Source organism: Homo sapiens, chromosome 3, assembly GCF_000001405.40.
Source record: "Homo sapiens chromosome 3, GRCh38.p14 Primary Assembly".
Lineage (NCBI taxonomy): Eukaryota > Metazoa > Chordata > Mammalia > Primates > Hominidae > Homo > Homo sapiens.
This window is the reverse complement of record NC_000003.12, coordinates 170,138,362-170,151,750: the sequence shown is the minus strand read 5'-3', so window position 1 is coordinate 170,151,750 and position 13,389 is coordinate 170,138,362. Positions and strand designations below refer to the sequence as shown.

The 13,389-nt window shown below is 38.6% G+C and overlaps 1 protein-coding gene and 1 pseudogene across 23 annotated transcripts in view; one reads left to right on the top strand and one right to left on the bottom strand.

Annotated features, from left to right (window-relative positions):
- The window catches only part of PHC3 (polyhomeotic homolog 3), a 94,150-nt gene that overhangs the window by 29,983 nt on the left and 50,778 nt on the right, over positions 1–13,389 (top strand). For 12 of the 23 annotated variants that reach the window (NR_199371.1, NM_001437998.1, NM_001437996.1 and 9 more), the window contains exons 5-6: positions 2,507–2,665; positions 6,230–6,328. The exons of 5 other annotated variants lie outside the window; for them this stretch is intronic. Coding sequence is in view for 16 of the 18 variants with exons in the window: in NM_001437998.1 (NP_001424927.1) it covers positions 2,507–2,665; positions 6,230–6,328 (258 nt within the window). In the remaining 2 variants the exon portion in view is untranslated. The remainder of the gene's footprint in view (positions 1–2,506; positions 2,666–6,229; positions 6,329–13,389) is intronic. 6 more of the 23 variants (NR_199370.1, NM_001438001.1, XM_047448984.1 and 3 more) reach the window with 1 other exon arrangement.
- On the bottom strand, positions 1,800–1,906 carry RNU6-315P (RNA, U6 small nuclear 315, pseudogene; annotated as a pseudogene).

Sequence of the window (13,389 nt, the reverse complement as noted above, 5' to 3'; positions counted from 1 at the left end):
CCTGCCTCCACTAGGAGCAGGGCAGATGCAAGCTTCTTTGCTGTTTCTCAGAACGTATGGGTGGAGCTTTTCCAGCTCCTTCTTACATATTGGGCAGCTCTTTTCAGGATTTTGGCTCAAAATAGGGATTTGACTTGTAGCCCTCCCCTGAAATAAGCACAAAGATGGATCTTCTGGCTCTATAGAACCAAGATACCCTTATAGACTGCCTTGGTGTCAGCTGAGGTGACATCTCTCTGGCTTTGAGTTTCTTCCTTTCTGGCACCAGGAATTTCCTTTCCCAGCTTTTCTCTCCCTTTTGGAGTTCTGCTGTATATTCTGATTTTTTCATGTTGATCTAGCATTTCAGTGATACCGTTTGGTCACATGGATGTATTAGTCCAGTCTGCCTTGTTGCTTGAATAAGAAGTCCAATAAAGTATTCTTTTTTCTAATAAAATATTTATTAATTGTATTCTGTGCTTTGTTCCACAAAATGATTTGAGGTTGGATTATATTATTCTCTGTTTAAAAATATTATTATTATTATTACTAGTATTTGAGACAGAGTCTCGCTCTGTTGCCCAGGCTGGAGTGTAGTGGCGTGATCTTGGGTCACTGCAACCTCCGCCTCCCGGGTTCAAGCGATTCTCCTGCCTCAGCCTTCTGAGTAGCTGGGATTACAGGCGCGTGCCATCACACCTGGCTAATTTTTGTATTTTTAGTAGAAATGGGATTTCACCATGTTGGTCAGGCTGGTCTCAAACTCCTGACCTTGCGATCCGCCCACCTCAGCCTCCCAAAGTGCTGGGATTATAGGCTGGAGCCACCTCACCCGGCCAAAAATATTATTTATTTTTAAAATGGGTAATATATACATGTGGTCTAAAATTAGAAAGATAAAAAAAAGAGTATGCTTTTTCTTTTCCCTATTACCCTAGCCACCCCACTCCAATGTCTCTTTATAGATACAACCAGTTACCAGTTTCTTACGCATCCTTCTAGAGGTTAACAATGCACTAGTTTATTGGGTTTTTTTCTTTTTTTCTTTTCTCTTTTTAGATGGAGTGTCGCTCTGTCGCCCAGGCTGGAGTGCAGTGGCGCAATCTCGGCTCACTGCAAGCTCCACCTCCCAGGTTCACGCCATTCTTCTGCCTCAGCCTCCCGAGTAGCTGGGACTACAGGCACCCACCACCACACCCGGCTAATTTTTTTAATTTTTTTTTTTTTTTTTTTTTTTAGTAGAGACAGGGTTTCACCATGTTAGCCAGGATGGTCTCGATCTCCTGACCTTGTGATCCGCCCGCCTCGGCCTCCCAAAGTGCTGGAATTACAGGCGTGAGCCACTGCGCCCGGCCAACAATGCTCTAGTTTATTCTTTAACAGAAGTTTTAAACTTTAGTGTTTATAATTTAATTTTGTAGCTGATATTCAGGATTTTTCCATCTGTTTGAGAAGTAGTATTTTCTTTTGCTTGAGAGCTTTTGACTACAGCTTTACACTGGTTATGTGTTACATGTATGTCTTTATATATGTGAATGCATTATCTGTGTTTTAATTTTTGTTCACAAACTCCTCAGAATGTGACAGAATAAACTGTTGATTAGGATGTTTTAAGTTATGTGGAATATTAAAATGAAACAGTAGCTCTTTTTTAATTTTTAACTGACACATAATAACTATACATATTTATGGGATACAGGGTGATATTTGAATACATGTATATCATGTATAGTGATCAAATCAGAGTAACTGGCATATCCATCATCTCAAATCATTGATCATTTCTTAGTGTTGAGAACATACAAAATCCCCTATTAAAACTAATGGAAAGCTTCATGAATTTGAATGTCATTTTTGGGCAGGAGCCATGCTAATCTTCTCTGTATTGTTCCAGTTTTAGTATATGTGCTGCGGAAGTGAGCACTGGCCCTAATTTTTAGGAGGTAGTGGAAATGATATTTTAAGATACTAGAAATCTTATTGAAACACGTTGTAGCTATCCTTAAAAACTGTGGCCGGGTGCAGTGGCTCATGCCTGTAATCCTAGCACTTTGGGAGGCCGAGGTGGGTGGATAACCTAAGGTCAGGAGTTCGAGACCAGCCTGACCAACATGGAGAAACCCCGTCTCTAATAAAAATATACAAAATTAGCCGGGCGTGGTGGCGTATGCCTGTAATCCCAGCTACTTGGGAGGCTTAGGCAGGAGAATCACTTGAACCCAGGAGGCGGAGGTTGCAGTGAGCCAAAATCGCGCACTTGCACTCCAGTCTGGGCAACAAGAGCGAAACTCCCATCTTAAAAAAAAAAAAATTGCCCTGATTACTAACCAATCCATGCCATTGTTTGCATATGTGCAAATAACTGCCCAAAGAAATGAGGGGGTCTGTCAAAGATAAAGGCTTCTCCTTTGGGTTCCTTAGCCACAGTTTATACCATTGATTGCCTAACTGCAGCTCGGTGTGAAATTCAGTAACATGGAAGCAAGAAATGGAAGCCTATGACCTAATATGTTTTCTTCCTTAGATCAACCTCTCCACTTCTCCTACACCTGCACAGTTAATAAGCCGTTCCCAGGCTTCCAGTTCTACCAGCGGCAGTATTACCCAACAGACTATGTTACTAGGGAGTACTTCCCCTACCCTAACGGCAAGCCAAGCTCAAATGTATCTCCGAGCTCAAATGGTAAGATATGAGCTACCAAATTTTTTCAGTGTTTAAGGACTTGAGAGATCAAAATGTTTCTTGATTTGATACAATAAGAGGTATTTTTAATATTTAAGAAATGTTTAATTGTGTGTGTGTGCATGCGGGCGTGCCTTCAGCTCTTGTACATTTATGTCATGAAAGATTCTACTTTTAATTAATAGGTCTTCTTGGTATCAAATAGTAATTATTACATTGAGAAGCTAATAGAGATTCAGTAACGTAAGAGTGATTATTTTTTAATATCAAATTCATTGAAAACCTTTTTTTCATATTTTAATATCTGTGAAATTTGGATGCATTTTATAACTGATGGCATCTTGGTACTTACAGTGGTCCATAAAATCATTGCCTGTTTTTGTCAACTTAGATTTGGTGAAATAGAGATGTTAAAAAAACTTTGTTGTTAAAGTTATAATTTGTATCCTAGGATTTTCTGAATTCTATATTGGAGTTCCGGATAGTCTCCCAGATGATTCTTAACTTTGGTTTTTCCCATCTCAAATTCTGCAAGGTTATTTGTGTTCTTGTGTTCATTTTGATATTTTATGAATATAGGAATGTTAATTTGGTTATTCTGTATTTGAGTATCTACAGATTTTCTAATTTAATTGTTGAGCTTCTTTAAGGAATATAGAAATTGGTTGACATGTATTTTATTTGATGTCTTTACAAGAAGCTAGACAAAAGCATTGTCCCTAATATATATTTATATTCTTTTTTGTCCAGTGGACTGAATATATATCTGGATCTCCAGTTTTTGTTGTTGTTGTTGTTGTTGTTGTTATTGTTTTTTGAGGTGAAGTCTCACTCTGTCACCCAGGCTAGAGTGCAGTGGCACGATCTCTGCTCACTGCAACCTCTGCCTCCCGGGTTCAAGTGATTCTCCCACCTCAGCCTCCCAAGTAGCTGGGATTACAGGTGCCCGCCACCACACCCAGCTAATTTTTGTATTTTTAGTAGAGACGGGGTTTCACCATCTTGGCCTGGCTGGTCTCAAACTCCTGACCTTGTGATCCACCTGCCTCACCTCCCAGAATGCTGGGATTACAGACATGAACCACCACACCTGGCTTGGATCTTCAGTTTTCTATCTAAAATTGCAAAGTTTCCAATCATTTAACTCATACTATGCTTTAAAATTAGGTTGAACCATTTGAGATGGTTGCTATTTGGCTATTTTTGAACTCTAAAATTAGCAGTTTCATACGGGTCAAACTAAATTGAATATCTTCTTTTTAGGTTTAGTCCTTTCAGGGTGTTGGTACTGGAAATTACCTTTTCAGGAAAGTTATACCATTTGTCCCTTGGTGTCTGTGGTGGATTGTTGCCAGGCCCTACCCTCTCTGTCCCCTAGAATACCCAAATCTGAGGATGCTCAAGGCATAGTATTTGCATATAACCTATGTATATCCTCCCATATACTTTACATCGTCTTTACATATATTTAGTATAATATAAACATCATTTAAATAACTGTTATACTATATTGTTTAGGGAATAATAACAAGAGAAAAATTTGTACATGTTCAATGCAGATGCAGCTATTTTTTTTAAATGAATATTGTTTTGATCTATAGTTGAATGACGAAGCACAGAGCCTTCCATAGGTATGGAGGGCTCATCATTGTACTTTGTTGTTGAATTTACTTAGATTTAGTGTACCAAAGAACTGAAGTTTAAAAGGTCACTTAATTGGTCGTTTAATTTTCTAATTTTTTTGGATCCGCATTTGGTTGAACATTTTAATTTAGATAGCAAGAGGAACTGAATAACCCTTGATACAATTTTGAAATAAAGTATTTACACATTCTTTGAAACAACTTGTCAAATTTACTAAATTGAATTGGTTAATCTCTGAGTGGATTGTATTGCCTTAGAAATTAATGGCATTTGGCTGAGCATGGTGGCTCATGCCTGTAATCCCAGCACTTTGGGAGGCCGAGGCAGGTGGATCACCTGAGGTTGGGAGTTCAAAACCAGCCTGACCAACATGGAGAAACCCTGTCTCTATTAAAAATACAAAAAATTACTCACGCTTGTAATCCCAGCTGCTCGGGAGGCTAATGCAGGAGAATCACTTGAACTCGGAAGGCAGAGGTTGTGGTGAGCGGACATCGCGCCATTGCACTCCAGTCTGGGCAACAAGAGTGAAACTCTGTCTCAAAAAAAAAAAAAAAAAAAAAAGAAAAAATAGATTAATGGCAGTTGTTTGAATATTGAAAAAAATTGAGCTGGGCACGGTGGCTCACGCCTGTAATCCCAGCACTTTGGGAGGCTGAGGTGGGCGGATCACTTGAGGTCAGGAGTTCGAGACCAGCCTGGCCAACATGGTGAAACCCCGTCTCTACTAATAATACAAAAATTAGCCGGGCGTTGTGGCGTATGCCTGTAATCCCAGCTACTCGGGAAGCTGAGGCAGGAGAATCGCTTGAACCCGGGAGGCAGAGGTTGCAGTGAGCTGAGATCGCATGACTGCACTCTAGCCTGGGTGACAGAGACTCTGTCTCACCAAAAAAAAAAAAAAAAGAAAAAGAAAAGGAAAAAAAAGGAAAGTGATAAGTAAAAAAATTAAATGTCTTTGTTTTTTGATGTGAAGATTTTTTTGCAGGCTCTTTTGTTGTTGAACTTTTACATGTGTGGCATTTACTTTTAGAATGAATCTTTCTTTCTTTTCTTTTTTTTTTTTTGAGATGGAGTCTTGCTCTGTCATCCAGGCTGGAGTTCAGTGGCATGATCTCAGCTGACTGCAACCTCCACCTCCTGGGTTCAAGTGATTCTCCTGCCTCAGCCTCTCGAGTAGCTGGGATTACAGGCATGAGCCACCACACCCGGCTAATTTTTGTATTATTAGTAGAGATGGGGTTTCACCGTGTTGGCCAGGCTGGTCTTGAACTCCTGACCTCCAGTGATCCACCTGCCTTGGCCTTCCAAAGTGCTAGGATTACAGGCATGAGCCACCACGCCTGGCCATAGAATGAATATTTCTTTACAAATAGTTTTAAAATGAAAGGGCAACCTGGATTTGTCCTTTAGATCCTTTGTAGCTAAGTGAAATATTGGAGTGTAGTATGTGGCATAGTTATCCTTATGATAAAGAGGACTGAAAAGACTTTTTTGGTGTTTCTTTTTGTTTCTCACTGAAATTTAATTTGTGTCCCAAAATAGTGACTAGTTGTTTACTTCCCATTTTAGGAATCCTGCCACAGTAGTTCTGAGCTAGGAAAAATTTAACTATAATAGCTTATTTGAGACACAATTTGGTCTGAGAATTTCATATCACCAAAATATATTTTCTTTTTTGAGTACTGCTTTTTTTTGCACTCATCAGAATCATGAGCTGTTTCAAAAATGTTTATGATTTTTTTTGAGTTCTCTATTATCAGAAACTTCTCTTTGTCATGTAGAACCTTTTGCTGAGGAGATAATCCTAAACTGCATTGTCTTTCTGTCACAAATTTCAGTCTCTCTTGCCTGCTACACATTGTGTGTGGGACATGTTCTTTTGTCTTAGGGTATTTTTTTGGTTTTCTGTCTGTACAGCTGATTTTCACACCCGCTACCACTGTGGCTGCTGTACAGTCTGACATTCCTGTTGTCTCGTCGTCATCGTCATCTTCCTGTCAGTCTGCAGCTACTCAGGTGAGCTTGTCTAGCTTCATAATGTGTTACTTGAGATCTGGATCTTCAGGTTAAAGTTAAGCATTGCATTTGTGTTTAAGTTACTGATGGTTTCAGTGCTCTTTGTCATGCATTTCAGATTGAAATTTAATAAAATACAATGAGAACTTCAAGAAAATGTTTTTTGTTCTATAAAAATTATAATACCATTAAACACAGATATTTAGGTTATTTGACATTGGTTGGTCAAGGTTAATGAGAGTTTTTGTTAATGGCTTTCTATGTTTAGTTTTCTCATAAAGCAGATTTATTTCTCATGTGAGATATATTCTTTTGCTTAGATTCCTTTGCAGTATTCCTTATGTAATAACTAAGTCAAGATGGATTTTAAGTTTGAAAGTGAATTAAACTAGACACATTTAAAATTTAAAAAATTGGTCAGGTGCAGTGGCTCATGCCTGTAATCCCAGCACTTTTTGGAGGCCCAGGTAGGAGGATTGTGTGAACTCAGGCATTAAAGACCAGCCTGGGCAAAATAGTAAGACCCGGTCTTTACTAAAAATAAAAAAAATTGTTTAAGTGTGGTGCTGCGCTGCTGTAATTCCAGCTTTTCAGGAGGCTGAGGCAGGAGGATTGCTCGAGCCTGGGAGATTGAGGCTGCAGTGAACTAGGATAGTGCCATTGCTTTCCAGTCTGGGTGACACAGTGAGATTAATCATTACAGAAATGCAAATCAAAACCACAATGAGTATCACCATACACTCACTAGAATGGCTGAAATGAAGAAGACTGCTAATACTATATATTGGTGAGAATGTGGAGCATCCAGACTCTCATACATTGCTGGTGAGAGGGTAAAATGGTACAGCCACATGTTGAAAAACAGTTTTACAGTTCCTCTTAAAGTGAAACATACATGTAACGTGTGACTCAGCAGTTCTACTCCTTATGTTTACCCTGAGAGACGTGAAAACACATAAAGACATGTAAATGAATGTTTATAGCAGCGGTACTCAGAATAGCCCCAAAGTGGAAACAACCAAATGTCCTTTAGCTGCTGAGTGGATAAACAAATTTTGATATATACTTTTTTTTTTTTTTTGAGACAGAGTTTTGCTCTTATTGACCAAGCTGGAGTACAGTGGCACCGTCTCCGCTCACTGCAACCTCCACCTCCTGTGTTCAAGTGATTCTCCTGCCTCAACCTCCCGAGTAGCTGGGATTACAGGCACGCACTACTACGCCTGGCTAATTTTTTTTCTTTTTTCTTTTTTTTTTTTTTTTTAAGTAGAAACAGGGTTTCACCATGTTAGCCAGGCTGGTCTTGAATCTCAGGTGATCTGCCCGCCTCAGCCTCCCAAAGTGCTGGGATTGCAGGCGTGAGCCACCACGCCCGGCCTCGATATATTCTTACAGTGGAATACTGCTCAGAAATACTGATGAATCTTAAAAAACATGATGTTTAGCAAAAGAACCTTGGTATAAGGTTCTTGGTATAAGGGATACATACTCTATGATTCCATTATATGAAATTCTAGAACAGGAAAAACTATAGTGAAAAACAATCAGATTAGTGGTATCTGGGGTAGAAAGTAGGAGGAGATTGATTGGGAAGGGGCATGAGTGAACTTCCATGATTAAGGTGATGTTCTGTATATTGGTTGGGGTAGTAATTATATGGTATATAGATATGTCAAAACTCATTGTTTTGTTTTATTGTATGTAAGTTACACCTCAATAAATTTGACAAGAATGAATTAGAGTGAGTACATTTTAAATGAAAACAATTGAGTTAGAGTGTTACTTTGCATGATATTGCTGTATTCTGGTATTCTTCATAATGAATATTTTAGACTGCATATGGCAGAAATGGGTATTTTAGGGTCATCTTTGGCTTCTTATTTGTAATATAATAGTTCTCAATCTTCTGGTAAAAAATAAAAAATGAGGTAGTAATAATATTCCTTGGTATTTTTGATAAAACCTCTATATATTATTTCATTTACAAGTAAAGGCTAATTTTCATGTATTAATTTATAAAGATGATGGTCGGTTAAATCCAGCTTTCTTCTAACTTGCCCTGGCATTCTCTACAGTTAACTTTATTGGACTTTTTTTCCCCCGTATTTATAAAATGAGAACTTTATCTCTGTTAACTTTAAGATTTTTCAGCTCTAAACTTTTTATGTCTCTGTGGAATGAATATGTTGAAGTAATGATCATCTTTTTAAATTAATTGATTGATTTATTTAGTTATTTAATTTTTGAGATAGGGTCTCACTCTGTCACCCAGGCTGGAGTGCAGTGGGTCAATCATGGCTCATTGTAGCCTTGACCTCCCTGGGCTCAAGCCATCCTCCCACCTCAGCCTCCTGAGTGGCTGGGATTACAGGTGTGTGCCTCCACACCTGGCTAGTCTTTGTATTTTTTTCTGTAGAGGCAGGGTTTCGCCATGTTGCACAGGCTGGTCCTGAACCCCTGAGCTCAAGTGATCTGCCTACCTAGGCTTCCCAGACTTTTGGGAGTACAGGTGTGAGCCACTGTGCCAGCCTGAAATAATGATCTTCTTTTTTTTTGTTTTAGTTTTATGAAACCTAATAGAGCTAGACCATCATCAACTTCCAGAACATTTTAAATTTTATTTTTTCATTTATATTTGGCTTTGTTCCAACTAAGATTTTAATTCATTTACAAGGTGCATACAGTAAAATATCAGAAAGTAAGTTGGAACCATGTAAGAAAAAAGACACAAATAAAACTAGGAAAGTGGCATGGAGCTAGGCGTGAAGTTGCTGCTCAGTTTACATGTATGAAGTTCTGTGTGGACTTAAGCTCCTACTTCAGTCATTTATTGTATGACTTGGACAAGTTGCCAAACATCTCTAATATTCATTCATATTTGTAGGGTAAAAGGATGAGTAATATGTATCTTTAGTGTATAAAACATTTACAGGCACTCAGTAAATAGTACTTTTTTTTTTTTGCAAAAGTCGGGGATAGGAAGACTTGGATTCAAATTCTGATTTCAGCAACAACATTTGCCAGCAGATTGATTTTGGTCAAATTCATAGTATAGCATAGTGTTTATAATACGGACTTTGGAGCCGGAATCTCTGAGTTCAAATACTTGCTCTACCATTTTATTATTATAAGTCCTTAACCTCTCACCTCAGTTTCAATTATATAAAATAAAATAACATTTATAATATATTTCAAAAGGTTGCTATGAGGATTAAATATGTTAATAAATTAAAATAGAAGTGTCTGATAGCATTTACTAAATGTTTCATTTACTGAATTGTTTCATTTATTCCTTAAAACAACTCAGCTCTATTCTCGGAGCCGTTACTTGCAGCTCAGCATTGTTATAAGGAATAAATGAAACAAAAAGTACTTAACATAGTGCCTCCACATAAGATATCACAAGCTGCTAACTACTATTTTTGTTATGCATTGTCTGAAGATAAGTCACAAAGTTGGTTCTTAGCTTTCAGGTAACTAATAGTGAAGGGAGAAAAGCAACCACTTAAAGAATTTACAGGCCGGGCGAGGTAGCTCACACCTGTAATCCTAGTTCTTTGGGAGGCAGAGGCTGGTGGATTGCTTGAGCTCAGGAGTTCGAGACCAACCTGGTCAACATGGCAAAACCCCATCTATACAAAAAATTTGCAGGGCGTGGTGGTGCGGGCCTGTAGTCCCAGCTACCTGGGGGGCTGAGGTGGGAGGATTGCTTGAGCCCAGGAGGTCGAGGCTGCAGTGAGCCAAGATCGAGCCACTGCATTCCAGACTGGGTAGCAAAGTGAGACCCTGTCTCAAAAACAAAACAAAACAAAAAAAGAATTTATAGTTTCCAAGGTGAAACAAACAAACCAGCTGCTTAGGAAAACACAGCTGATTTTAACATGTTCTGAGGAGCACAATTTTTCTTGCTGGTACTCATGAAGAAAACATCTTACTTCATATTTAAAGGTATTTTTAATGTGAATAGAGTCAAAATAATTTATAAAAGTGGTCTTTGGGGTCCAGATTGATGTGTTCTAATTATGAGCCTCTGTGATCGGACTTAATTCAAAGATAGATTTTTGAGGGGCTAGAGGAATGGATTGAACTTTAGGAATTTCTCTATGGATATTGTTTCTCTTCTCTGTGCTTTTGAAATGGCAGTGAGTGAGTCTGGCATTGGTAGGTGATGCTCACACTTATGCATTCCAGTGATAACTTTCGTCAAGTTCAAGACTGTTTTGGAAAATTTCTGCATAACTTTGTTGAGTTTTAGAATTATATTTGCAGTTAAAATTTTTATTTTAATTGTGAAATACCAAATCTGAAGTTGTATTTTAATATTCTTTAAGCTATAGAAGTCAGTACAACAGTTAATTTTTCCTTAGTATTAAACATTCTTATACCATAGTGTAAAAATGAGAAATTTGGAATATCTCACTTTTATTTACTATGTTAAATGCTCCATTCCTTCTCCCCACCAGGCACACCCACATAAAAAAAGATTTTTGGAAAGATGTTATAGGGCAGAGTGTGTTAAGAGATGAGCCGGGCATAATGGCTCATGCCTGTAATCCCAGCACTTTGGGAGGCCAAGGCAGGCAGATCACTTGAGGTCAGGAGTTTGAGAGTAGCCTGGCCAACATGGTGAAATCCCGTCTCTACTAAAAATACAAAAATTAGCTAGGTGTGGTGGTGGGTATCTGTAAACAGCCTGGCTAACTTGCAAGGCTGAGGCAGGAGAATCGCTTGCACCCGAGATGTGGAGGTTGCAGTGAGCCGAGATCGCACCACTACAGTCCGGCGTGGGTGACAGGGCAAGCCTCTGTCTCAAAAAAAAAAAAAAAAAAAAAAAAAAAGAAAAAGAAATGAGTAAGAACTCTGACCCAGAGGCTGGCACAGTGGCTCACGCATGTAATCCCAGCACTTTGGGAGGCTGAGATGGGTGGATCACTTGAGGCCAGAAGTTTGAGATGAGCCTGGCCAACATGGCGAAACCCCATCTTTACTAAAAATAGAAAAATTAGCCAGACATGGTGGCACAAGCCTGTAGTCCTAGCTACTCAGGAGGCTGAGGCAGGAGAATTGCTTGAACCCAGGAGGTGGAGGTTGCAGTGAGCTGAGATTGAACCACTGCCCTCTAGCCTGAGTGAGACTCTGTCTCAAAAAAAGTAAAAAAGAAAAAGAAATCTGACCCAGTAAATCCAAAGGGCTGTTTTTTTCCTCAATTCTAAGAGTATTCCCCAGTAAGGCTATCTGGGGAATACTCTTAGAATTGAGGAAAAAAACAACCCTTTGGATTTAAAAGCTAAAAACTCAGCTCTACTGTCAGCAATGTGACCCTCACTCTTAGGGATACTATGATAATTGCCATAGTATTTGTTAGATTCCAGTTAAATAATTGATGTGAGAGTATTTTGGCAGGGAAGCCCTCTATAACAGTGTGAGATGTGAAATTAGCAAAAATAACTCAGGCAAAATGTAGACTTTTTCAAAAGCCAGAAAGTTTTCATAACTTGATCAAAGGAAAGGTTCAGATGAAATGAATGTGGGACACCAGAGTGCCCTAATATTCTTCTTCTTAGAAAGGATGGGTTTTCTTTCAAAAGGGAGGCTCTGTCAAGGAAATCCGTATATGTTATCTTTTCACTAACAGCTAAATTAACTTTGTAATATACTTTGGCAGTGTAGCGTTCATGTTTGGAATTTATTTAAACCATGTCAATGTTTAAGTCAAAATGATCATAGATATTTTAACCATATTCTAAAATATATATGTTCACATAAATAATATATATACAACATAGTGTATGTAAGTATATAAACATTTTCCTTCAGAATTCCAGAAAAGGAAAATTAAAAACAAAAGGAGTATTATTCTATAGAAATGGATATGCTGCAGGTTTCGGGTTCATTGTGTCAAATCCTTGTTTACTGTGAATATACTTTTCATTTCAGGTTTTTCAGATTATTACCCTTTGGTTATCATTACTATGCAGTCTACTTTATAGATCATTTGTGTCAAATGTTAAATTTTATATTGTCTTTCTCTTGCTTCCTGGAAGATTTTAATGTGCCTCTTCTAGATACTTGTTGATGTTTTTGGTAAACATGAACAGATTTTAATGTTAGCCTAAGAACACGATGAAGAGAACTAAGTGCTTACCAAAAAATTAGCCATGTAATATATATTTCAAAATCATATATAGGAGAATACCTCATCTGTTAAGTCTGCAGCACCGAACTGCAGGGAGTATAAAAATGAATGTTGAGATGAGAGTCTACTAGCGAGTCTCAGTATTTCACAGACAAACATACATTTAGTAATTCTAAAACAAGTTAGATATTCATCTGTGCTATAGGCCAGTAATGACCCAAATGCTATGGGAAAGTTGTTCTAGAAGGAAGAAACTCTTTTCTAACCAGGGACTTTCAGAATGTTTCTTAAGTAGGGAAAGAGGGATTTTACTGGGCTTGGAAGAATGGGTTTGGCTTCAAAAGACAGCTTTGAGAAAAGATGGCATTTAGTCAAGAAGTGCTTGAATAAGAGCTCCAAATGAAGGAAGTGGAAGGTATATTTGGGGAATAGTGAGCAGAACAGTTTGGGTGGAATATGAGAACTGTAGGCTGGAGGACTAGAAACTGGGGGCTTGAAGTGGGTTTTGGCCTAGGTTGTGGAGGGCTTTGAGTGGCAATCTGAGAAATCTAGATTCTAATATTTCTTTTTCTTATCTTTTTTTTTTTTTTTTTTTTTGAGACAGAGTCTTGCTCTGTTGCCCAGGCTGGAGTGCAGTGGTGTGATCTCAGCTCACTGCAACCTCTGCCTCCGGGTTTCAAGCAATTCTCCTGCCTCAGCCTCCTGGGCTGCTGGGACTACAGGCACCTGCCCCCACATCTGGCTAATTTTTGTATTTTTAGTAGAGACGGTGTTTCACCAAATAGGCCAGGCTGCTCTCAAACTCCTGACCTTGTGATCCGCCTGCCTCAGCCTCCCAAAGTGATGGGATTACAGGCGTGAGCCACCACACCCAGTCAGTATATTTTGTTTTTGCGTTAAACTTTAATAATGCAGTGGTTATTAG